Source organism: Homo sapiens, chromosome 7 (assembly GCF_000001405.40).
Source record: "Homo sapiens chromosome 7, GRCh38.p14 Primary Assembly".
Taxonomy (NCBI): Eukaryota; Metazoa; Chordata; class Mammalia; order Primates; family Hominidae; genus Homo; species Homo sapiens.
This window is the reverse complement of record NC_000007.14, coordinates 65,873,786-65,900,140: the sequence shown is the minus strand read 5'-3', so window position 1 is coordinate 65,900,140 and position 26,355 is coordinate 65,873,786. Positions and strand designations below refer to the sequence as shown.

At 40.4% G+C, this 26,355-nt stretch overlaps 1 protein-coding gene across 4 annotated transcripts in view, besides 2 other annotated features; it reads right to left on the bottom strand.

Moving 5' to 3' along the window:
- VKORC1L1 (vitamin K epoxide reductase complex subunit 1L1) overlaps positions 1-26,355 on the bottom strand; it is a 93,787-nt gene that overhangs the window by 59,418 nt on the left and 8,014 nt on the right. Inside the window, exon 2 of one of the 4 annotated variants that reach the window (XM_047419923.1) lies at positions 24,172-24,319. The exons of the other annotated variants lie outside the window; for them this stretch is intronic. Coding sequence (XP_047275879.1) covers positions 24,172-24,319 — 148 coding nt within the window. The remainder of the gene's footprint in view (positions 1-24,171; positions 24,320-26,355) is intronic. 4 annotated transcript variants of the gene reach the window in all.
- Positions 25,566-26,117: an enhancer, noted in NCBI's record as "H3K27ac-H3K4me1 hESC enhancer chr7:65339011-65339562 (GRCh37/hg19 assembly coordinates)". NCBI's record gives its function as "activates a minimal SCP1, AML or CMV promoter by ChIP-STARR-seq in primed H9 embryonic stem cells {active_cell/tissue: H9 hESC(primed)}" and the evidence as "EXISTENCE:reporter gene assay evidence [ECO:0000049][PMID:30033119]".
- Positions 26,286-26,355: a silencer, noted in NCBI's record as "silent region_18202". NCBI's record gives its function as "represses an Ori minimal core promoter by ATAC-STARR-seq in GM12878 lymphoblastoid cells {active_cell/tissue: GM12878}" and the evidence as "EXISTENCE:reporter gene assay evidence [ECO:0000049][PMID:35858748]".

Sequence of the window (26,355 nt, the reverse complement as noted above, 5' to 3'; positions counted from 1 at the left end):
TGGGATTACAGGCATGAGCCACCACACCTGGCTATTTTTCTGTATTTTCAATACACACACACACACACACACACACACACACACACACACACACACACGTGCGTGCACATGCACACACGCACAAAGCTATTTTTGTGTGTGTGTGACAGTTTCACTCTTGTTGTCCTGGCTGGAGTGCAATGGCGTGATCTTGGGTCACTGCAACCTCTGCCGCCTGAGTTCAAGCGATTCTCCTGCCTCAGCCTCCCGAGTAGCTGGGATTACAGGCATGTACCACCACGCCTGGCTAATTTTTGTATTTTTAGTAGAGACGGGGTTTCTCCATGTTGGTCAGGCTGGTCTCAAACTCCTGACCTAAGATGATCCGCCTGTCTCAGCCTCCCAAAGTGCTGGGATTACAGGCGTGAGCCACCACGTCTGGTATGAAGCTATTTTTTAAGTCCCCATTTCTATCTCGTAACTCCAGCTGTTTTCACAGGCCAGAATCTCACACCACTGTTTTCAAAAGCAAGTCACATACCTTCCACCTAGAGCCTGCCTTTCTCCCTCTGTGCCAGTTAATGATACTCAGTCCTCCCATAAGCTTCAGAGTCATTTCAATTTGTCCTTCTGTTTCCACGTCTAGTCAAAAATCCTACTGGAAACAATGAATTTCAATCCATGAGAAAAAACATTACTGCAGAGGGCTCTAGAATAATGATCTCAAAGCAGCACTAAAAAGCTAGCAGAATGAAAAACCCCCTTTTTTCCAGGTCAGAGATATGAGACAATCTGCAAAGAGGAAGCCATGCCCTTGGCATAGAAGCAGCTTGTTCCTGGGATAAAGAGGTGGATTTGGAAGAGTAGGCCAATGTTGGACAATAAGCCAAGGGGGGAAACTGTTGAACAGAGTCAAGAGGCTGCGGCCTTGAGCCTGCATTTTGGGTGGCACCCAAAGATGACAAAAGGAGAAACATGTCATAAACCAGGCTTCAAATGGCACTTTGGCAGAAAGTTGTTTTGCTGCCCAAACTGGCATTTAATATTGGTTGAAATGAATAAGACACGCCAGCCTTCAACTTTTTACCATGTAATTAATCAGCTCTGAATAAGGTCATGTCTTTTTACTTTAGTGCTCTTTTAAAAATGGATAATAAACAAAGTAAAGTATTCAAAAGTCACAAAATAGTATGGACCTTGAGAACATTGTGCTAAGTGAAACAAACCAGTTACAAAAGGGCAAACACTATATGATTCCACTTGCATGAGCTATCTAGAGTAGTCAAATTCATAGAAACAGAAAGTAGAATGGTGACTGCCAAGGGTAGGGGAAGTATTAAGTACTTGTTTAATGGCTAGGAAAAAGTTTTGGAGACTGGTTGTACAACAATATGAATATACTTTACACTACTGAGCAGTACCCTTAAAAATGTTTAAGATAGTAAGTTTTGCTACATGTATTTTATCACAATTAAAAATTTTAAAAAATGTTAAGTCACAAATTAGTATAGAAAGTGTCACCCAATTCTGCCTTCTGGCCACTCGGTTCCACTCCTCAGAGACAGCCAGTGTTAGCATATCTTCCCATCTTTCCAAATATATTCCAATTATATATGCTTGCAAATATATGCCTATAGAGATAAAACACACCCATACACAAACGGTGGCATACTACACATACTGTTCATGCACTTTGGTCTTTTCATTTAATGTATCTCAGAGACTTTTCTAAATTACTTCATATACAACTGCCTTACTCCTTTTAGGAGCTGCTACCTGGCCGGGCGTAGTGGCTCACACCTGTAATCCCAACACTTTGGGAGGCCGAGGTGGGTGGATCATGAAGTCAGGAGTTCAAGACCAGCCTGGCAAGATGGTGAAACCCCGTCTCTACTAAAAATACAAAAATTAGCCGGGCGTGATGGCAGGCGCCTGTAACCCATACACTCGGGAGGCTAAGGCAGAGAATTGCTTGAACCCAGGAGGCAGAGGTTGCAGTGAGCCGAGATCGTGCCACTATACTCCAGCCTGGGTGACAAAGTGAGACTCTGTCTCAAAAAAAAAAAAAAAAAAAAAAAAAAAAACCTGCTACAAATTTACTGTATGACTGTATCAATTATTTTACCAGTTCCCTAGTTATGGGTAATTAGGTTTTGCACAAGTTTTTGTGCTTATAAACACAGCAATGAATACCTTCATGCTATTTTTAAGCCCCACATATACAAGAGTGTGTGTAAATATATGTTACATGCCTAGGATGAAACTGCTAAAACAAAAGTTATGTGCATTCTTTATGTGTGATTGTGTGATGTGTGACTTGATGTATACACACTATTTTTATTTATATTAAAATGTGTATTGAAGTATAGCATACATTCAGAACAGTACATAATTCTTAAGTTCATAGCTTGATGAATTTTCTCAGTGTAATTCCACATAACACAGAGATTAAAAAAAAAAAAAAAAGATTATAAGCCTCCAAAATCCCCTCATGTCTCCATCCAGTGAGCTCCGCAAGAGTAATACTACCCTGACTTCTAACACCACAATTTTGTCTTTTTTTGAATTTATATTTGTGTTTGGCTCTTTCACCCAACATTATGATTGTGAGTCATTCATGTTGGGTGAACTGTAATTCATTCATTCTTATTGCTCTATAATATCCCATTGTGTAAATACATCACAATTGATCTAAACTATACTATACTACACAAGGTATGTGCATTCTTAAACTTTAATGGATATTATTCAACTGCTCTCCATAGAGTTTAGAAACTTACCATTAATATACGGAAGTAGCTATCTTCCTACACCTTAGTCAATAGCTAATCAAACTTCTTAATCATGTTAATCGGGTATTTTTAAAATGCTTTCAGTATAGTTTCAATTTGCTTAACTCTTACACTGACTGCAACTGAGGATCATTTCATACATTTAGGAGCCACTTGTCTTTCCTTTGAACTGTCTCTGAATGTGCCCACCTGTCTACTGAGTTGTTGGTCTTTTCTATCAGCAAGCGATCCTGCTTTTTAAAGGAAATTAGCCCTTTGAACATGCTGCATGGCAACTATTTCTTCCCAGCTTATCACTGGAGTCCCAATTTTGTTTATACTAGTTTTTGCCATGTCTAGGTTGTCTGTTTATTTATTTATTTATGAGATGAGGAGTCTTGCTCTGTTGCCCCAGCTGGAGTGCAGTGCAATGGTGCGATCTCGGCTCACTGCAACCTCCACCTCCCAGGTTCAAGCAATCCTCTTGCCTCAGCATCCCAAGTAGCTGGGATTACAGGCATGTGCCACTACACCTGGCTAATTTTTGTATTTTTAATAGAGACAGTTTCACCTTGTTGGCCAGGCTGGTCTCGAACTCTTGGCTTCAAGTGATCAGCCTGCCTCAGCCTCTCAAAGTGCTGGGATTATAGGCATGAGCCACCAGGCCCAGCAGCGTGTCTGTTTTTACGCAAATTCATCAACTTTTTTTTCTGTATGCAAGGGCTCAAGTTGAATGATGAAGAATCATAAGAGAGGCAGGAAGAGAAAGAGGAAGAAGAAAAGGAAGAGGAAAAGGGAAGGAGGGAGGGAGGGAGGGAAAGAAGGAAGGAAGGAAGGAGGGAGGAAGGGAGGGAGGGAGGGGAAGATAGGAGCGGAACCTATTACATTGCTGGTAGGAGGGTAAGCTGTTGCAATTATTCTGGAAAACTGGCAATATATACCAAAACTAAACAAACATACATCCTATGACCCAGCAGTCCCACTCAATTCCAACAGAAAATGAGTATTTATGTCCACCAAACATGTATAAATGTTCTTAGCAGTTTTATTCACTTTAGCCAAAATATAGAAACAACCAAAATTTTCATCAATAGTAAAACAGATAAAATGTGATATCCTAAAGAAGAACTGCAATATACAACATAAATAAATCTCATAGACATGTTAAACAAAAGAAGTGAGATAATGGCTGGGCGCGGTGGCTCACACCTAAAATCCTAGCACTTTGGGAGGCTGAGGCGAGTGAATCACTTGAGGTCAGGAGTTCAAAACGAGCCTGGCCAACATGGTGAAACCCCCGGCTCTACTACAAAAAAAAAAAAAAAAAGTTGGCCGAGTGTGGTAGCGGGCACCTGTAATCCCAGCTACTTGGGAAGCTGAGGCAGGAGAATCGCTTGAACCCGGGAGGCGGAGGTTGCAGTGAGCCGAGATCACGCCACTGCACTCCAGCCTGGACAGAGGGAGACTCTGTCTCAAAAAAAAAAAAAAAAAAAAAAGAAGTGAGATAGCAAGATAGTTCTCTTTTTTTCCCAATGGCTACTCAGTTCACCCAATACCATTTACTAAGGAATTCACTATTTTCATCACATATACCACTGTTGACCACATAAAACATTTCTATAGATGAGGCTACTTCAGTGCTGTCAGCTCTGTGCCAGTGATCTGATGCTCAAATTGGTTTGGCTTCAACATACACTTTAATATTTCACAGCACTAATACCTCCCTCATGAACAGATTTTCATAATTTTTGTGAAAAGTTTCATTTTCGTTCTTTCATATAAACTTTAGAATCAAGTTTTGAAAAGCCTATTGAGATATTAATTGGGATTACTTTAAATTCACAAATTATATGTGTGTGTGTGTGTGTGTGTGTATATATATATATATATATATATATATATATATATATTTTTTTTTTTTTTTTTTTTTTTTTTTTCTCACAGATGGCATTTCACTATATGGCCCAGGCTGGTCTCCAACTCCTGGCCTCAAGTGATCCTCAGCCTCCCAAAGTGCTGGATTATAGGCATGAGCCACTGTGCCTGGCCTATTTCACTAAATTTAATACATTTTCAATTTAAGATGCACAGTTATTTTATGCCAATTGAAATAGCTTCTTTAGACTTAAATGTTTCTGTTTTCATATCCCATCTAACTTGTGCTTATAATGAAAGTAAAGTTATGTAAGGTAAGTTGGTTAAGATGCTCCTAACCTAACTTCATAATTACCATATGGCCAGAAGTACCTGGAAGATGTCATCAGCTTTAAGGCGTATCTTAACTTTAGAAATCATAAAAAGTAAAAAAGGATCTTTCTAACAATATAAAATACAGCAACTTACAGCAGATACTGACATCTTACAAATGTGAGAGCTATCCTGTTCAAGAACAAAATATGTTTTAGCATTTATTCAATTCTTTTATGAGCTTCAGTAAAGTTTTGCAATGTTTTTCAGAAATATCTTTCATTTTCTTGTTAATTCTTAAGTTTCTCTTACTTTTTCTTTGTAAAGATAGGGTCTCACTGTGTTGCCCAAGCTGGTCTCAAACTCCTGGGCTCAAGTGATCCTCCTGCCTTGCCCTCCCAAAGTGCTGGGATTACAGGCACAAGACACTATGCCTGGCCAATTTACTTCTTTTCTTTTCTTTCTTTTTCCTTTTTGAGACGGAGTCTCGCTCTGTCGCCCAGGCTGGAGTGCAGTGGTGCGATCTCGGCTCACTGCAACCTCCACCTCCCGGGTTCACACCATTCTCCTGCCTCAGCCTCCCGAGTAGCTGGGACTACAGGTGCCCACCACCATGCCCAGTTAATTTTTTGTATTTTTAGTAGAGATGGGGTTTCACCGTGTTAGCCAGGATGGTCTCGATCTTCTGACCTCGTGATCCACCTGCCTTGGCCTCCCAAAGTGCTGCCACCGTGCCCGGCCCCAATTTATTTCTAAGTAGAATTTTTTCCTTCAAAAATTCTGTTTGGAAAATGTGCAAACCTTTATACACAAAATTGTGTAACAAAATTGAGAAAAAAATTAAAGTTCAAAACACATGGAGAAATTATGTCTATGAATCAGAGGATTCAATAGTATAAAGATTTCAAATTCCCATTACAGCAGGTGTAGATTAAAAAAAAAAAATTTTGGCTGGGCGCAGTGGCTCATGCCTGTAATCCTAACATTTTGGGAGGTTGAGGCAGGTGGATCGCCTGAGGTCAGGAGTTCGAGACCAGCCTGGCCAACATAGTGAAACCCCATCTCTACTAAAAATACAAAAATTAGTCGGGCGTGCTAGTAGGTGCCTGTAATCCCAGCTACTCAGGAAGCTGAGGCAGGAGAATTGCTTGAACCTGGGAGGCGGAGGTTGCAGTGAGCCGAGATCGCACCATTGCACTCCAGCCTGGGCAACAGGAGCGAAACTCCGTCTCAAAAAAAAAAAAAGTCAATTATTCCCAAACTGATTCAACACAATTCCAATCAAAATCCTAACAGGTATTCTTGTGGAACATCACAGCTGATTCTAAAATGTATGTGGAAATGCACAGGGCCCAGGGCCACACATAACCAAGATTTATTATCCACTGGATATCAAGACATAAAACTAGACGAGTGATTCTCAAACTTTTTGGTTTGACATTCCTGCAAACTACTGAGACTCTAAAATGCTTTAGTTAACATGCATTATACCTATTATATTTATCACATTAGAAATTACAACAGGAAATTTATTTATTTTTACTTTTTTTGAGATGGAATCTCCCTCTGTCACCCAGGCTGGAGTGCAGTGGCACATACCTATTATATTTATCACATTAGAAATTAAAACAGGAAATTTATTTATTTATTTTTACTTTTTTGAGATAGAGTCTCCCTCTGTCACCCAGGCTGGAGTGCAGTGGCATGATCTCGGCTCACTGTAACCTCTCCACTTCTCAGGTTCAAGTGATTCTCCTGCCTCAGCCTCCCAAGTAGCTGGGATTAAATGCATGTGCTATCACATCCAGCTAATTTTGTATTTTTAGTAGAAACAGGGTTTCACCATGTTGCTCAGGCTGGTCTCGAACTCCTAACCTCAGGTTATCTGCCCGCCTCAGCCTCCCAAACTGATGGATTACAGGTATGAGCCACCACACCAGGTCCAAACAGGAAAGTTTTAAATATCAATTCATTCATTTAAAAATAACAAGAAATCTATTATATGCTAACATAAATAACACTTTAATGAAAAATAACTGTTTTCCAAAACAGATTAAAAAAATGAGTGAGAAGAGTGGCACTGTTGGATATGTTTTGGAAATCTCCTTAATGTTTGGCTTGATGGGAGACAGCTGGATTCTCTTATCTGCTTCTGCATTCAATCTGTTGCAACACTGCATTTCATGCGGCCTCTGGAAAACCCTATTGTACACTTGTGGGAGAATGAGTGTGAGGCAAAAAACAACCAAGTGTTACTATCAAAATAGTTTTGACCTGGCCTCTGAAAGGGTCTCAGGAAACCTGCATAGTCCTGGGACCACACTTTGAGAATTGCTGAAATACAGTACTTAAGACAATGGGTCACTGGGAGAGGACAAACAGGAATAGAAGAGGCAGGCAAATCCTGGTATACATAACTACCTGATTTATGACCAAGGTAGCTCTACAAAGCAGGAGGAGATGGCCTTTTCAATAAATGGAACTAAACATCATCATCATCATCTTCATGTCATCTAGAATAACAAACTGACCCCATCTCACACCACACAGACAAAAATTCCAGAGATTGTTGATCTAAATGAGAAAGGCAAAACAGTAACAGAAAATAATGTAGATTATCTTCACACCAGGATACAAAAACCCCCAATTACAAAGGAAAAGGCAGAAATATTCAACTACATTAAAATTAAGAATTTCCATTAATCAGAGAAATGCAAATCAAAACTACAATGAGATATCGTCTCACTCCAGTTTAAATGGATGAGATGATGGTGAGGATGTGGAAAAAGGGGAACCCTTGTACACTGTTGTTGGTAATGTAAATTAGTACAATCACTATGTGGACGTTCCTCAAAAAAACTAAAAATAGAACTACCGTGTGATCCAGCAATCCTGCTACTGGGTATACACCCAAAAGAAAGGAAATTGGTGTATCGAAGAGATTTCTGTACTCCCATGTTTACTGCAGCACTATTCACAATAGCCAAAATATGGGATTAACCTAAGTGTCCATCAACAGACGAATGGATAAAGAAAATGTGGCACTTACACACAATGCAGTACTGTTCAGCCATGAGAATGAATGCAATCCCGTCATTTTCAACAATATGGATAAAACTGGAGGACATTATGTTAAGAGAAATAAGCCAGGCACAGAAAGATGAACATTGCATGTTCTCACCCATATGTGGGAGTTAAAGAAAAAAAATTGAACCCATGTAGACAGAGTAAAGGACAGGAAGGGAAGTGGGAAATAAAGAGGGATTGGTGACTGGGCACAAAAATACAGTTAAAAAGAATGAGTAAGTCTAGTGTTCAGTACCACAATAGGGCAACTACAGTTAACAATGATTTATTTTATATTTCAAAATGACTAAAAGACTAGAATTGGAATATTCCTAACATGAAGAAATGATAAATGATTCAGGTGATGGGGTACTCTACCCTAATTTGATAACCATGCATTCTATGCTTGCATCAAAATACCACATCTACCCTATAAATATGTATGGCTATTATGTATCCATAATAATTAAAAACAAAAATAAAAAAAATTCTGTTAGTGAAGAGACACCTTTAAGAGAATAAAAAGGAAAGGCCAGCCACTAGCTAGTAATAGATACATGCAACACAGGTATGGGGCAGGGAGGGGAGGGGATCAATACATTTATCCCTTATACAAACCAACCAGAAAATTAGCCAAAAGACTTCAATGAGCTCTTCACAGAGAAGATATCCAAATGGCCGAAAAACATATAAAAGGCTGGTCAACCTCATTAGTAATCAGGGAAATGCAAATTAAAACCAAAGTGGAGTGTTAATTAGTACAACCACTTTGGGAAACTGTTCTGTTGTTTCTAATAAAGTTAAACACTCACCTATCCCATGACCCAGAAATCCACTCCTAGATATATACACAAGAGAAATTAGTATATATGAGAATGTTCATAGCAGCTTAATTCACAATAGCCAAAACCTAGAAACAATCAATAAGAAAATGAATAAACAAAGGGTAATATAATCATACAACAGAACTCAGCAAGAAAAAAAGAGTAACTCATACCACCACCAAGTTGGATAAATTGCAAAAAAAAAAAAAAAAAATTATGCTGGGCAAAAGAAGCCAGACACAGCAGAGTCCTTACTGTCTGAGCCCATTTATATGAAGTTCAAAAACAGGCCAAACGCATGTATAGTGGCCAAAGTCAAAACAGTGTGGTTAGAATAGCAGCTTCTTTCTGGAAATTACCATGAAAGAACTTTCTGGGTGACGGAAATATTCTATATCTTCATCTGGGTAGTGGTTATAGATACATTTATAGGTAAAATACTCTTCAGGCTGTACATTTTTGTTTTTATTGTGTATGACATATACCTCAGTTACACACAAAAACCCATTATGTACCTACCAGAATGGTTAATATAATTTAACAGACTGACAATTCTAAGCCTTGGCAAAGAGGTGGATAAACAGGAATTCTCACACATTGTTGGTAGGAATCTAAACTAGTGCAACCACTTTGGAAAATAGTCTGGCATTACCAAGTAAAACTGAAGATATGCAAAAATGTTTATAGCTGCAGTATTCATAATTGCTGCAAACTGGAGACAAATATCAATCAAAAAGAGAGTGAAGGCTGGATGTGGTGGCTCACGTCTGTAATCCCAGCACTCTGGGAGGCCAAGGCAGGTGGATAACCTGAGGTGAGGAGTTTGAGACCAGCCTGGCCAACATGGTGAAATGCCATCTCTACTAAAAAGACAATAATTAGGGGCTGGGTGTGGTGGCTCACGCCTGTAATCCCAGCATTTTGGGAGGCCGAGGCAGGCGGATCACGAGGTCAGGAGATAGAGACCATCCTGGCTAACAAGGTGAAACCCTGTCTTTACTAAAAATACAAAAAAATTAGCCGGGCGTGGTGGCAGGAGCCTGTCGTCCCAGTTACTCGGGAGGCTGAGGCAGGAGAACGGTGTGAACCCAGGAGGTGGAGGCTGCAGTAAGCCGAGATCACACCACTGCACTCCAGCCTGGGAAACAGAGCGAGACTCTGTCTCAAAAAAAAAAAAAAAAAAAAAAAATTACCCAGGTGTGGTGGTGTGCACCTGTAGTCCCAGCTACTTGGCAGGCTGAGGCAGGAGAATTGCTTGAGCCCAGGAAGCAGAGGTTGCAGTGAGCTGAGATCATGCCATTGTACTCCAGCCCGGGTGACAAGAGTGAAACTCAGTCTCCAAAAACAAAAACAAAAAAAGAGAGAGAATGAATATATCAATTGTGTTATATTCATAATAGAGTATTATTCAGCAATGACTAATGCACAAACTACAGCTCCATAAAACACAGGTGAATCTCACAAAATGACACTGAGTGAAAGCAGCCAAGTAAAGAAAACAAACTAAATGGTTCCATTTATATAAAGTTCAAATAGCAAAACTAAACTACTAAGTTTAGGTGCGATCTTAGAAAAGTAAGAAAATGATTCTCATAAAAGTCAGGACAGAGGTAACTTTTGAGAAGGGGGACGCATATAGTTGACTAGGGGAAAGTTAAGGGAGGGCTTTCTGGAGTGCTGGCATTGGTCTATTTAATGACCGGAATGTTGGTTACAGGGTTATACTTTGGTGATTACAACAACAAAAAGATGCACCGCTCAATGATTTTTCTGTAAGTTATAGTTCACAATAAAAGAACGTGAAAAACAATCAATGGGGCCTGGTGATTGATTGAATTTGGTGGGGGAGGGGAGGAAGAGAATCATGGACAAGTCCCAGGTTTCTGACTTGCACAACTGCTTAGGTGGTGATGCCTTTCACTGAGATAGCCAACAGCATTTTTGGAGGAAGAGTATGAAATAAATCTTGGACATACTGAATTTATTAGTTTTGGGACATCCAAGTAGAGATGTCTAGTAGGCAATTAGATATTAGCAAATGAAGTACTCAACAGCAGAGGTTGGGGTAGAGATAAAAATGTTGGATTCACCCATGAGTGAGACCATGGACATGGCTGTGACTGTTAAGGGAAAGAAGAATGACAGAAGGGCCTAAGGCTGCTTGGTGGGACATCAACATTTAATGGCCAGATACAGGAGAATAAGCCAGCCAAAAAAAAAAAAAAATTGAGAGTGGTAGGAGGAAAATGAAGAACTGTCACGAACCATTAAGCAAGAGGAAAGAGCGTCTCAAGAGTAAGAAGTCACTCCCTGCAGGTTGATGTGTAGTTGGGGGGTTGGGGAGGACATGGATTATGGGTACTACTCAGCAGGCCAGTTTTTACTCCACCTCTTTCTAGCTGACTTGACACAAGCAACAACCCAACAGAAAACCAATACTTCTGAGAATGGCTGCAAGTTTGTTTGTGCTGTCTTTTGAGGTAAGAAATCAAGGCTGAGCTCTTCTTTCTCCTAATTCTCAGGAAGGAGGAAGGCAGATGTGAGAACACTGATTGGGTCTGAGTGTACTGGGCAGCATCACTGTTAAAAGGTCAGCACACAGATGCAAGCTCACTTGTCTGCTTCTTTCATGTGACTGAAGTGGTTAAGAAGGTTGTCAACTCCCCCCTGCACCCCCCTCACCACCGCAGTAAGGGAGAGACAGGGCCAAACCTGCAGCTTCGGTAGAAGAGGCCAAGGCAGGTGTCCAAGGCCAGATCAGCAGTCAGCCAGGGCAAATGGGCTCACTCTGGTTACATGACCTCGAGCAACTGACAGAAAGGAGTGAAATGTGGGGAAGATCTCAGTGTGTTTGAGAACTGGGAAGATGAAAAGGGTTCATCTCATGGCCTGCTTTAGTTTGAAACAATTTAAGCTTAACTAGATTCCAAAAAAACAACATTTCCACCTGAACCAGCTGGGTTCATTCCAGTCTTTTACCCTGGAGTTTGGTGCCCAAGTCCTAGTTAAGAATAAAACGTAGAGTCCTTTTGTTGTCCATTTGTCAGTGCAAATATTTAATATAAGTATTTCTCCCAGGGACCCTATAGACTTGAAAACAGTGACTATAGATTGCAGACAATTTTGATATTCCAGGGATCTCTGACCAGAATAATAAGAAATTACTGTAATTTCTCAATTTCTAGCACCACACAAATTGCATCTCACACACACAGACACATACACACACAGGGGCGGGTTTACCTACTTCTCAGAAAATTGCACAGATTCAACGAGAAAGAATAAATAGTAATTAATGTGTTCCTTAATGGCTGGTGAATAATAATAAAATGTTAACTAAAACAAAAACAATTTTTATTTTTAAACCCACTATCACTAAGTGATAAAGTCTAAACTGACAGAACAGCAAATTAGTACAGTCCTTTGGGAGGGAAATATGGTGATACATATTGCGAAGCAATCCTGTTATTTGTTGCTTTTTTTTTAAATGACAGGAAAAAAAACAAAATTAAAAAAGGCTATGTTTCATAAATCACAATACATTCTTACAATGAATACTATGTAAACACTTTAAAAATGAGACACTTGTGTGAGAACTAACTTTGAAGGAGGAGCAAGGTATTTACAAATTATTCTACTGAATGATAGCTAGTATTTGGGCAACACCTATGTACTAGGGCTGTGCTGACTGCTTGTACACTTGCTGTTTAATTTTACAATAACCTTACAAGGCAGGTGGCATACTAACCTCATTTAACAAATAAAATGGAAGTGGAGGCTTAAGTTTATTATCTAGTATCACTGAGGGAGGCCATAGCACAATTAGGATCTAAAAGCACCAAACCTTGATTTCAGAACCTACACTTCCACTCACTGTGCCAGTGTGTCATAAAGTATACATACTTTTGAAAAACTCATTTAATATGGATCAATGTTATATTTCTTTAATATACAGCAATGTACATAATATCAACGTTATGTATTTATCTAATATAGATCAATGTATGAGTTCACAGCTCTTATCACTAAGGATTTCTGGGTTTCTTTAGTAAATTTTAAGAAAACTGTTATGAATTAACAGTACAGATGATACAAGCATATGGCAAAAGTAACAAGGAGGCACTCTAATGACTGAAAGTTTGGAGAACAAAACTCTTACCTTCCCGGCCAGGCATGGTGGCTCATGCCTGTAATCCCAGCACTTTGGGAGGCTGAGGTGGGCAGATCATGAGGTCAGGAGATTGAGACCATCCTGGCTAACACGGTGAAACCTCATCTCTACTAAAAACATGTAAAATCAGCCAGGGTTGGTGGCGTGCGCCTGTAATCCCAGCTACTTGGGAGGCTGAGGCAGGAGAATAGCTTGAACCCAGGAGGCAGAGGTTTCAGTGAGCCAAGATTGCACCACTGCACTTCAGCTTGGGCGACAGAGTAACAATCTGTCTCAGAAAAAAAAAAAAAAAAAAAAAAAAAACTCGGACAGGCGCAGTGGCTCACGCCTGTAATCCCAGCACTCTGGGAGGCCAAGGTGGGTGGATCACAAGGTCAGGAGATTGAGACCATCCTGGCTAACACGGTGAAACCCCGTCTCTACTAAAAATATAAAAAATTAGCCGGGCATGGTGGCAGGCGCCTGTAGTCCCAGCTACTCAGGATGCTGAGGCAGGAGAACGGCGTGAACTCGGGAGGCGGAGGTTGCAGTGAGCCGAGATTGCACCACTGCACTCCAGCCTGGGCGACAGAGTGAGACTCCGTCTCAAAAAAATAAATAAAATAATAAAAAAAAAACTCTCACCTTCTCAAAAGGCACCTTCTTCTTTATATGCTGCAATATTGTACGACATTTTCACAACAATTGCGTATTACCTCAAAGAGGTTTTTTGAAAAAATAAAACAACCCCTCCTGAAACATTTTTCAAATAAAACAAAAGTAAAGGCACTATCTTAATGTGTACCCTCAGAAACTGGAAACATCCTTCATATCTAACAATAAGAGTTAAGTACAGTTATCAACTTGATTAAATGGTCCTTAATCATTAAATTAATGACTACAAGAAAAAGAGATCATAATATACTGCCGATTATTACAAGAACCAGAGTATACATATACCATATATCATGATAAAGTCTCTTTAGACCAAAAGTAAAGGTGAAAAGAGAAATGAAAACAGGGATAGATGATATAAGGCTTTTCCCTCAACTAATTTACTCTAATACTATCTTTGTAATACATGTGTTTAGAACAAAACAATGCCACAATAAGCATCTAGGTTAAAACCATTATCAGAGAGGCAACTCCAGAATAAACAGATACGATATGCTCCTTGATGGAAAGACCTGCTAGTGAGAACTGACTCCTTCCCATATTCGTCTATAAATTTAGCACAATTCTAATCAAAATCTCAGTGGGATTTGTCTTAGAACTCATCAAAATTATTCTAGAATTCACCGGAAACAGTAAATTCATGACAATAGCAAAGAAAAATTTGGAAATGAGCATATTTGCCCTATCAGATATCAAACTTCTATAAAAAGCCACGGGGGAGGGGTGGTAATGGAATAAACACAGACCGACCTGTCACTGGAACAGAACTGAGAATCCAGAAAGAGGCCTTATGTATGCAGAAAAGCCTTGTGGCATTTGAAATATGAACAAGTCAATGAACTGAGAGAGGCAAAAGCCTATCCATTTAGGAAAAATTTAGATCCCTACCCTTACACTAGACACAAAAGGAAATTCCATACAAACTAAAAGAGCTCAGTGTGAAAAAAATTTTTTCACATAAAATATATGAAAATATTTTAAAGATAATCTTGGGATGGTAGAGATTTTGCTAAACCAGAAAAAAAAAACAACTATAAATATGTGAAAGATTTTCCAGTTGAATAATGAAGAATTTTTTTAAGTGAAAGATCTGACCACCTAAGTTAACACTTCTATGTAAAGACATCATAAACAAAATTAAAAGACAAATAACAAATGAAGAGAAAATGTGTAACACATATAACAAAAGATTAACCATTGTGACATCTAAAGAACTCCTATAAAGCAATAAGAAGAAAAGATAAACAACCCAGAAAGGGAAAAAATGGGCAAAGGTATGAACAGGCAATATCCAGAAGAAATGCAAAATTTTTGTCTGTACAAAAATTATGTTGTAGACTCATGTAACACCCAGTAAACTACATGCTAGGAGATTTAAGAAGTCATGTTTTTCAGAACTAACAAATTACATATATTTACACAATATCAGAATGGGAAATGCCTGTCTGAACTTGAATCTACAGACAAAAATTACCAAGAAAAATCATTAAAATTATCATAGACTTGAAAAAACCTTTGTACTAGCATTCGTCTAAATCAATGTGAAAAATTCTAAAATTTATCCAGGCAGGAGAAGAAACACAGTTAATAAAAACATGAAAACCTCATTATCAAACAAGGTGATTATAAATTAAAAAATAAATTTTTTAAATGTGAAACCATTAAATCTTGCTGATGCTTGGGGAAAATGCAAATCAAAACAATAACATGACAATTTTCATATATCATATTGGCAAATATCTAAAAAATGAGAATGCCCAATTTGGCAAGGGCACAGGGCACCTAATATTCTATTCCATTACTGGTGGAATTTTTAACAACATGGGAAAATAGTGGTAATATTTTCTTTTTTTTGAGACAGTCTCACTCTGTCGCCCAGGCTGAAGTACAATGGCATGATCTCGGCTCACTGCAACTTCTGCCTCCCCAGTGCAAGCAATTCTCCTGCCTCAGCTTCCCAAGTAGCTGGGACCATCAGTGTGAATTACCATGCCTAGCTAATTTTTGTATTTTTAGTAGAGACGGGGTTTCACCACGTTGGCCAGGCTGGTCTCAAACTCCTGACCTCAGATGATCCACCTGCCTCAGCCTCCCAAAGTGCTGGGATTATGGCCACCGTGCCCTGCTGTGACATGTTAAGTGAGGAAAAGACAAATTAAACATACAGCAAGATCTAAACCATGTTCTAAAATAACAGTAACTATGTTTTATGAGTACCTTTATGCCAGACACCAGGACTATTTACATGTACTGGTACACTTCATAGTCACAATAATCCTATGAGTTAACACTATTACTACCCTCATTTTATGGAGGAAGAAGCTGAGACAAGAGATCAAGTGACAGAGCCAAGATTTCAACTCAGGTTGACTCTAGAGTCCCAGATCTTAACCACTGGCACAATGTATAGAAATTAATCAAACACTTTAAACACAGTGGAGTTGAGTATACTGTCTACTTTAATTCCTGATTTTGTCATAGATTTTCTACTACTTTACTTCTCAAATACGATGAGTTTTTAAAAGGATCGGTAATCACAAGACAGCCAACAGTGTCCCTGAAATTCCCCTAGTTAGAGATGCTAACTACAAAATAAAACTTATGAATCGTAATTCAATAGCTTTAAATATTGCACTACAAGAACATTTTTCTAAATGAAATTTTATGTGCATCTATAACATAAACAGATTAGGCTGGGTGTGGTGGCTTGCACCTGTAATCCCAGCACTTTGGGAGGCCGAGGCGGGCAGATTACGAGGTCAGGAGGTCGAGACCAGCCTGGCCAACATGGTGAAACCCCATCTCTATTAAAAATACAAAAATTAGCCGGGTTTGGTGGCAGGTGCCTGTAATCCCAGCTACTCGGGAGCCTGAGGCAGGAGAATCACTTGAAACTGGAAGGCAGAGGTTGCAGTGAGCCGAGAACCCGCCACTGCACTCCAGCCTGGGTGAAAGAGTGAAACTCCGTCTCAAAAAACAAACAAAAAAAGATTAAAGCAGTATTTTATTCTATCAATGTATTTTAAAGCTCAAATGTGGCCGGGTGTGGTGGCTCATGCCTGTAATTGCAGCACTTTGGGAGGCCAAGTGGGGGTGGATCATTTGAGGTCAGGAGTTCGAGACGAGCCTGACCAACATGGTGAAACCCCGTCTCTACTAAAAATATACACACACAAAAAATCAGCCAGGCATGGTGGCACATGCCTGTAGTTCCAGCTACTCAGGAGGCTGAAGCAGGAAAATCGCTTGAAGCTGGGAGGTGGAGGTTGCAGTGAGCCGAGATGGCACCACTGCATTCCAGCCTGGGTGACAGAGTGAGACTCCATCTCCAAAAAAAAAAAAAAAAAAAAAAGCTCAAATGTATAACATGTATAATGAGAACAATAAAATTCTTCTGACGAACACCAACTTTAAATTATGGATGATTGGGCAGTCTTATGTCAAATTTGTTTTGTTTTGATGGCATGGTATCAAGAAAAACCGGATTCACAAAGATGAATAGATGATAAAGCATGTTTTGCCAATGATAATGTTTTGTGTGTGTTTTTTAAATAGTACATTAACGCTATCTAAGGATTTAATTACACCTGTCCAGAAGTTTTAAAAGTAAAACATTTCTAAATTAATTATGTAATAGTGTTAAGGAATGAATACTTGGTAGTCGTAAACATTTTGGTAAAAAATAAAAACTTTACAATATGTACTAATCCTGATATATGCATTAGGCAGTCATGTTATTGCATAATGCAACAGTTCTAATAGTACTGAATGTGCTTATATGTTACATGAACAAACAAGCACTAGCCTAAAATTTCAAAATATCAACATAAAGCTACAGTCTTACTAATCAATAACATTTTTATCCTTTCTAACTCTGAGGAGGAAAAAAAAGGAAAGAAAAAATTTTAATTAAAAAATAAAATGGCATTTTAAAAGTTTCATTTCTATACACAAAGTGAGACACTCTATTCCAAGGATTATTGTCCTGGGTGTAAGCATTATAGATAATTTACATTTTCTTCCTTTTGCTTATTTTCTCTCAAATATTCTAAATGCACTTTTTTTTTTTTTTTGCTTTTTTACTTTTTATTTTATTTTATTTTATTTTTCAGACGGAGTTTCACTCTTGTTGCCCAGGCTGGAGTGCAATGGCGTGATCTTGGCTCACTGCAACCTCTGCCTCCTGGGTTCAAGCAACTCTCCTGTCTCAGCCTCCCGAGTAGCTGAGATTACAGGCATGCACCACCATGCCCGACTAATTTTGTATTTTTAGTAGAGATGGGGTTTCACCATGTTGGTCAGGCTGGTCTCCAACTCCCGACCTCAGGTGATCCACCCGCCTCAGTCTCCCAAAGTGCTGGGGTTACAGGCGTGAGCCACTACACCCAGTCTATTTTATTTTATTTTCTTGAGACAGAGTTTGCTCTGTCGCTCAGGCTGGAGTGCAGTGGCATGATCTCAGCTCACTGCAACCTCTGCCTCCCAGGTTCAAGTGATTCTCCTGCCTCAGCCTCCCAGGTAGCTCAGACTACAGGCACCCACTACCATGCCCGGCTAATTTTTGTATTTTTAGTAGAGATGGGGTTTCACCATGTTGGCCAAGCTGGTCTTGAACTCCTGACCTCACGTGATACATCCGCCTCAGCCTCCCAAAGTGCTGGGATTACAGGCATGAGCCACTGTGCCTGGCCAACTTTTTATTTTAAAATTACTATAATTATAAATCACAGGAATTTACAAAAAAGTACACAGGGAGGTCCCAAGTACCCTCGCCCAAATTCCTCCAATCCTGAGTTTATTCAGGTTTCACCAGTTTTGTATGCAAAATGGGACTTGAGTACGCTAGGATTTATATGCAGTATGTGTGTGTGTGGTTGTATGAAGTTTTTATCACATTTGCAGCTTTGTATAATCACACCTGAGACATTGAACTGTTCCATCCCTACACAGCTCCCTCATGCTACCACTTTATAACCACACCACCCCTCACCTCCCATTCCTAACTCCTAGCAACCACTAAATCTGTTCTCCATCTCTGCAGGTTTGTTATTTCAATAATGTTACATAAATGCAATCATACAGTATGTAATCTTTTAGGGTTCTCACTTGTTTTCACTCAGTATTAACTCTCTTGAGATAACCTGGCAGACAAATCAGTTGTCTCTAATATATTAAAATTTAGCATGAGATTCATTTGACTGTGTATAAACATTTATAATATTTTAAACTTAAAACATTAAAATGTGAATCAAAGGTGTATGAAATCCCTGTTTCATTGACAGAGAACAGGGATTCTGAGATACAAATTTTGAAAACTGGGAATCTAATACAAGCCTAGTACAATGTAGTACAGGTTGAATATTCCTTATCTGAAACACTTTGGAGCTGAAATGCTTTGGATTTGGGATTTTTTCAGATTTGGGAATATGTGCATTATATACCGGTTGAGCATCCCAAATCTGAAAGTTCAAAATCTGAAATGGTCCAAAATCCAAAACTTTGAGTGCCAATGACACTCAACGGAAATGCTCACAGGGGCATTTCAGATTTTGGATTTTCGGATTAGGGATCCTCAACCTGTACAATAACTTTATAGAAGAAAAGCTCAGGACTCAGTGCTATGTCTTATCAGTGTTTACAAGAGTACATGGTTTATAAGAACGCCTGGTTTTGCACTTGCTATGGGCAAGATCTAGATTCTGGTTCTTTCCCAACCCAGTTGAATATGTTACATTCAAATATGACCACTTGCTGTTCTTCTCAAATGACCACAGTTTGCTACCCTTTCAAGTTCTTCCTAATGATTGAGGAAATGAACTCCTCTTAAATTCCCAGATCTGTGTGGCGCTTTAGCTAGCACCACACCTCAGGTCCAATTCTCCTGTCTTTATATGCAGCAGGTCCACACGACAAGGCCTCCCTCCGAAAAAGCTACCCCAATCTAGGACAGATTCAAACAAACTCTTTTCCCTCCCCCTCCCTCCATGTGCCCAGAACCCCTTTCTCCTTCCTCCCTAGGCTAACCTGCTAAGTCTTCCGGACAGCTCACTACACCGTCTATCTGTTAGTTAACTGGGTGTGACAAACCACGTCCTCACACCTTAGAAGGCAAACACTCCAGGAACTTACTTCTGGAATACCAATACCTTCACAGTAATTTCCCTGCCTTTCCAAAGAGTGCTCTAAACAGGTAAAAGTGATACCACAAACTCTATATATTTTTGTCACATAGATACAGAAACTGGCACCATTGTTTGCATATTTAAAAAATCTGGTTGATATGGTTATCACTCTATCAATATTAGATCTAAATGGAATTTAAAGTAGTGGTAAAAGGCTGGGCGTGGTGGCTCACACCTGTAATCTCAGCACTTTGGGAGGCCAAGTGGGAAGACTGCTTGAGGCCAGGAGTTTGAGACCAACTCAGGCAACAAAGTGAGACCTCGTCACTATGAAAAATAGAAAAAATTAGCTAGGCATGGTGGGGTGTGCAACTGTAGACCCAGCTACTCAGGAAGCTGAGGTTGGAGGATCACTTGACCCAGGGAGGTTGAGGCTGCAGTGAGCCATGACTGCACCACTGCACTCAGCCTGGGGAGACAGAGTGAGACAATGTCTCAAAAAGTTAAAGAAGAAAGAAAAGAAAGGAAAGAAAAAAAAAGGAAAGGAAAGAAAAAGAAAAGGAAAGAAGGAAGCAAGGAACGAAGGAGGAAGGAAGAAGGAAAAATAAAGAAAAGGAAGGAAGGAAGGAAAAAGAAAGAAAAGAAGGAAGGAAAAGAAAGAGAGAAAAGAAAGGAAAGGAAGAAGGAGGGTGGGAGGGAAAGGAAGAAAGGAAGACGAAAGAGTAGTGGTAAAGAGCTTGGACTCTTGAGCCAGACTGCCTGGGTTAGAATCAGGCCTCTGCCACTGTACTACCTGGATCAAGTGTTAGTCTGCGTTGCTCAGTTTTCTCATGTGTAAAATGGTGATAAAAGCTACCTGCCTCATGGGACTCTTGAGAGACTTCAATAATGTATGCAAAACATTTAGAACACTGCCTAGCACATAGTAAGCATTATCTGTAAGTATTAACATTTATCTCTACTACAGTCCAGATTCACTTCCTTGTGATATTTCTCTATTCCTCTTGGACTCTTTTCAGTTCAACCTGCTTCTGAAATTTCCATACCAAGAAACAATGATAATGTTAAGAATTTTATTTCTGAAATTTATCTTGGTTAGTCAAAACTACTAGAACAAATTCTCTTTTACGTACTAGCAGTTATTAACATTTCACTAAATATGAACATAAGCATTTAAAGTATGGGAGCAATGGAACGAATGCCAAGCAAAAAGCAGGCTATCAATAAGGATGCATACGTGATACTTCCATGTTAAAAAAAGGGAGGAATCATATGGTCACGTGGATGTTTGTCTATGTGTCAAACGGCTCTGAAAAGTTTCACAGCGGTCTACTGAGCGGGAGAACTGTCTGGTGGAAGGGATATGAAGGAGACTTTTCACTGTACATGCTTTGTTATCTTTCAAATCCGAAGCAGCGAATGCCTTACCTAGACAAGAATTTAATTTTTCTTTTTTTTTGAGACAGAGTCTCACTCTGTCACCCAGTCTGGAGTGCAGTGGCACGACCTCAGCTCACCACAACCTCCACCTCCCGGGTTCAAGTGATTCTCCTGCCTCAGCCCCTCTCAAGTAGCTGGGACTACAGGCGTGTGCCACCATGTCTGGCTAATTTTTTTTGTATTTTTAGTAGAGACGGGGTTTCACCATGTTAGCCAGGATGGTCTTGATCTCCCGACCTCGTGATCCGCCCACCTCGGCCTCCCAAAGTGCTGAGATTACAGGCGTGAGCCACTGCGTCCAGCCAAGAATTTAATTTTTAAAATGGGGGTGCAAAGGGGACTTTAAATAAGTACTCTGGAAGCCAGGTGTCAAGTCTCAATTTGCTACTACCTGTGCTATCTTGGGCAAGTCACTTAACCTCTGAGTCTCAGACAAAGCAAAGAGCAGTAAATACTTCTAGGTTCTTTTTTTTTTTTGTAAGACAGAGTTTCCCTCTTATTGCCCAGGCAGGAGGGCAGTGGCACAATCTCGGCTTACTGCTACCTCCACCTCCCGGGTTCAAGTGATTCTCCTGCCTCAGCCTCCCGAGTAGCTGGAATTACAGGTGCCCACCACCATGCCCGGCTAATTTTTTGTATTTTTAGTAGACAAGGGGTTTCACCATATTGGCCAGGCTGGTCTCAAACTCCTGAACTCAGGTGATCCACCCACCTCAGCCTCCCAAAGTGCTGGGATTACAGGCGTGAACCACTATGCCCAGCCCTAGGTTCTATTCTAATTCTAAAAGTTTTATTATCTCAATGGGGTAGTAAATAGATGGTACTTTTTTTTTAAGATATGGGAGAGGTAGTAATCCGACATTTTGTAAAATAAGGCAACTTTTTTATGGACTTGATTTTCAAATGCAGTGGACCCTTGAACAACACGGGTTTAAGCTGTGTGTGCTCACTTATACGTGGATCTTTTTCAACCAAATGCAGACCGAAACCTGCATATATGGAGGCCCAAATTTTCACATTCAGGTTCTGCAGGGCCCACAGTGGGGACTTGAGTATGCCAGGATCTCAGTAAAAACAGGGGTCCTGAAACCAATCCCCTATGGTATATGTTCTATACATAGACCATAGGACAACCAGACTATTTTTACAGTTTTAAGAAACATAGATTTGTCAAGCCTATTAACCTTTCCAGATCATTTGTACTATTCTTACATAGAAACCCTTCTTAGAGGGGGTCTTATATATAGAAAATACCTACATAGAATATTCTGCATATTACAGCTGGACACGGTGGCTGATGCCTATAATCTCAGCACTTTCGGAGGCTGAGGCAGGCAGATCACCTGAGGTCAGGAGTTTAAGACCAGCCTGGCCAACATGGCAAGACCCTGTCTCTACTAAAAATACAAAAATTAGCCGGGCATGGTGGTGGGCACCTGTAATCCCAGCTCCTTGGGAGGCTGAGGTAGGAGAATCGCTTGAACCCGGGAGGTGGAGGTTGCAGTGAGCTGAGATCATGCCACTGCACTCCAGTCCGGGTGACAGAGCAGCGAGACTCCATCAAAAAAAAAAAAAAGAATATTCTGCATTAGTTTCTCTTGCACAACTTCAAAATTGTTTTAAATGAACACATCTTTATACTATGCTATAAAGTCAGCAATAAACTACATTAAAACAATTAATGTTTAAACATATAAACAAGTATGTACAAGAAACTTATACTTAAAGGCATTTATTATCAAACACTGGAAAAAAAAGAACATCTCCAATCAATGGTAACAGCTATAACTGAGGACAGGCTTTATTTCAGGAACATACATGTATCACTTTTCATCGTAACACTAATCTGGCAAAGTAGGTTTTTTTGTTTTTCTTTTTTTGAGACAGGGTCTCTCTCTACCACCCAGGCTGGAGTGCAGTGGCACCATCATGGCTCACTGCAGACCTCAGCCTCTCAGGCTCAAGTGATCCTCACACCTCAGCCTCCCAAGAAGCTGGAAATACAGGCATGCGCCACCATGCCCGGTTAACGTTTGTATTTTTTGTAAAGACACGGTTTTGCCCTGTTGCCCAGGCTGGTCTGAAACTCCTGAGCTCAAGAGGTCTGCCAGGTGTCAGCGTCCCAAACTGCTGGGATTACAGGTGTGAGCCACTGCACCAGGCCCTAAGTAGGTGTTAAAAGCCCTATTTAACATAAGAAACTGAGGCACCATGAAGATAAGGCCACAAGCCTAAGAACTGGGAGAGGTGGAAGCCCACCCAGATCCCTTAGATTTGAGCTCAGTGTACCAAACCAAGGGGGCAGGGACTGCTAACTGAATGTTAGCTGGCAGGCTGGTGCAGGTTTGCAGCAGAGTTTTCACCGATTTATGGGAAAATGGGAAAAAGTAAGGACACGAAAGTAAACTTTTTTTTTTTTTTTTTAAAGACAGAGTCTCGTTCTGTCACACAGGCTGGAGTGCAATGGCGCGATCTTGGCTTACTGCAACCTCTGCATCCCAGGTTCAAGTGATTCTCCTGCCTCAGCCTCCCGAGTAGCTGGGATTACAGGTGCATGCTACCACGCCCAGCTTGTTTTGTATTTTTAGTAGAGACGGGGTTTCAGCATGTTGGCCAGGCTGGTCTGAAAGTAAACTTTTCCATATAGCTAAATGATTCCATTTAAAAATATTTTATTCTGAGAGATTCTGTTCTTTCAAATTGTTTGAATGGAAATATCCTTTTGTTAAATGAAATGATGGTGACAGGAGATAGTGGTGTGTTATTGTTTTTACTGGCTGTACATGGTAGAATTGAAAAATCAGCATTTCTATTGTAGCCTACTAATTTCGGTGAAATATTTCTTTAGAAATATAAAATCTGGAACTTTCCATCATTATGCCTCCCCAAAATAATAGAGGACTTTACACACAGATAACACCTGCCTCTCAAGATTCTCTCATTAATCTCTACCTTACCGTGTTTGGATTAAGACACAGGGCTTGCGAAATGAGAATAAAGTGAGTTTGAGCAATCCAAAACCACGTGCTGACTCTGGATCCTGGAAGATGATTTTCTTCAGAATCTTTGTCTGTTAACTTTCCTCTGGGCTCAAACTTTCTTTTCCTAAAAGAGTCACATATTTGAGTACTACTGCTACATGGCAATCACCACTCAAAAAAAACTAACTTGAGGTGTCCAATAATCAGCTTTCATTTAAAGTCTGTTTCAGGCTAGGCGCGGTGGCTCACGTCTGTAATCCCAGCACTTTGGGAGGCCGAGGAGGGCGGATCACGAGGTCAGGAGATCGAGACCATCCTGGCTAACATGGTGAAACCCCGTCTCTACCAAAAATACAAAAAATTAGCAGGGCGTTGTGGCGGGCGCCTGTAGTCCCAGCTACTCAGGAGGCTGAGGCAGGAGAATGGAGTGAACCCGGGAGGTGGAGGTTGCAGTGAGTCGAGATCGCACCACTGCACTCCAGCCTGTGTGACAGAGCAAGACTCCGTCTCAGAAAAAAAAAGAAAAGTGTCTTTCAGCTTGACAAAATAAAAACTTTCAATGATGTTTTGTCTACACACTTCCAAAAGAAAATGAGTCTATATATGTACATATATGTGATTATATATGTATATATACATATGTGATTTTGATCAGCCTGCATATAAACTACCTGCAAAACAAGTTGATTTGTAAATTCATTTATTAAATGGGTAGTTTATAAGCTACTTGATTTTTGCAAGTAGTTTATAAACAGGCTGATCAAATTGAACAAATTTCTTAATTTCACTGTATACATGGCAAATAAGTTATCTACTCTTCTTATTAGCAAATCTTATTTTTACCTACCCTCCTTTGGCAAGCATCTAAGTTAAACTATTTTATGTCCACAGCTACACAATGAAACATCACTTTCAGTCACAACATATTAAATTCACATTTAAAACTATAAAGAGATCCAGTTACCTTTAGTCTTACATGTACTTATACATACTTTTAATATACTACTTGATGTTTTATGCACAAACATGCAGCTCTTGCAGGATATAACTATGAGAATATTTAGAGTGTATGCTAAATACACTTTTTTAAAGACAAGTCAATTTTTAAAAATTATTTATTTATATTTTATTTATTTATTTGAGATGGAGTCTCATTCTGTTGCCCAGGCTGGGGTGCAATGGTGTGGTCTTGGCTCACTGCAACCTCTGCCTCCCAGGTTCAAGCAATTCTCCTGCCTCAGCCTCCCGAGTAGCTGGGACTATAGGCACATGCCACCACACCCAGCTAATTTTTGTATTTTTGGTAGAGACGGGGTTTCACCATGTTGGCCAGGCTGGTCTTGAACTCCTGACCTCATGATCCACCCGCCTCGGCCTCCCAAAGTGCTGGGATTACAGGCGTGAGCCACTGTGCCCGGCCAAGAAAAGTCAATTTTAAGCACTTAAGCAGGCCAGGCGCGGTGGCTCATGCTTGATTCCCAGCACTTTGGAAGGCAGAGGTGGGTGGATTACCTGAGGTCAGGAGTTCGAGACCAGCCTGACCAATATGCTGGTCTCGAATATGCTAATAGGCAACAACGTTTAAAAGTCATTCCAATGCCTAAAACACCACCATATACATAACATACTTGTCCTTTACTCCAATGAAGCTTAAACTAGACCCAAACTCAGACCATTTCCTTCTCCTGGCACACTGAAACATACGAGAGGGAATCCAAGAAATCAGATATGTTAAGTGCGGGTATCTTCTTCCACAGTAGGGTCAAATTCGTGTTTGCCAGCAAATGTCACCGTCCCAGTTAAGTCTGCAAATTCTCACTAGCGCTGGAGTACAAAGAGGCCTGACCACGGAAACACCTGTCCTAGCACCAGGAAGACAGTGGGAAAGGCAACCCCCCTGTCTCCGCGCCGGCCCCAAAGCCTCGGCTGCAGCGATCGGGGGGACAAGAGGTTGCCGCTGGTCTCAAGGGTGCGGTGGACAAGGTCCCACACCCCCGGCCCGCCTCCCGAGAACCAGGAAACCTGTCAAGCCAGCCTGGACCCACCCTCCGCAGCCCCCTCGCGCTCCTGCACAGCCGGGCCCCAGCCCGCCCGACCGCTCCGCGTCCGCCCCGGCCTCCCGGCTGCACTCTGCCACCTCATCCCTCCCCGGCTGCCTCG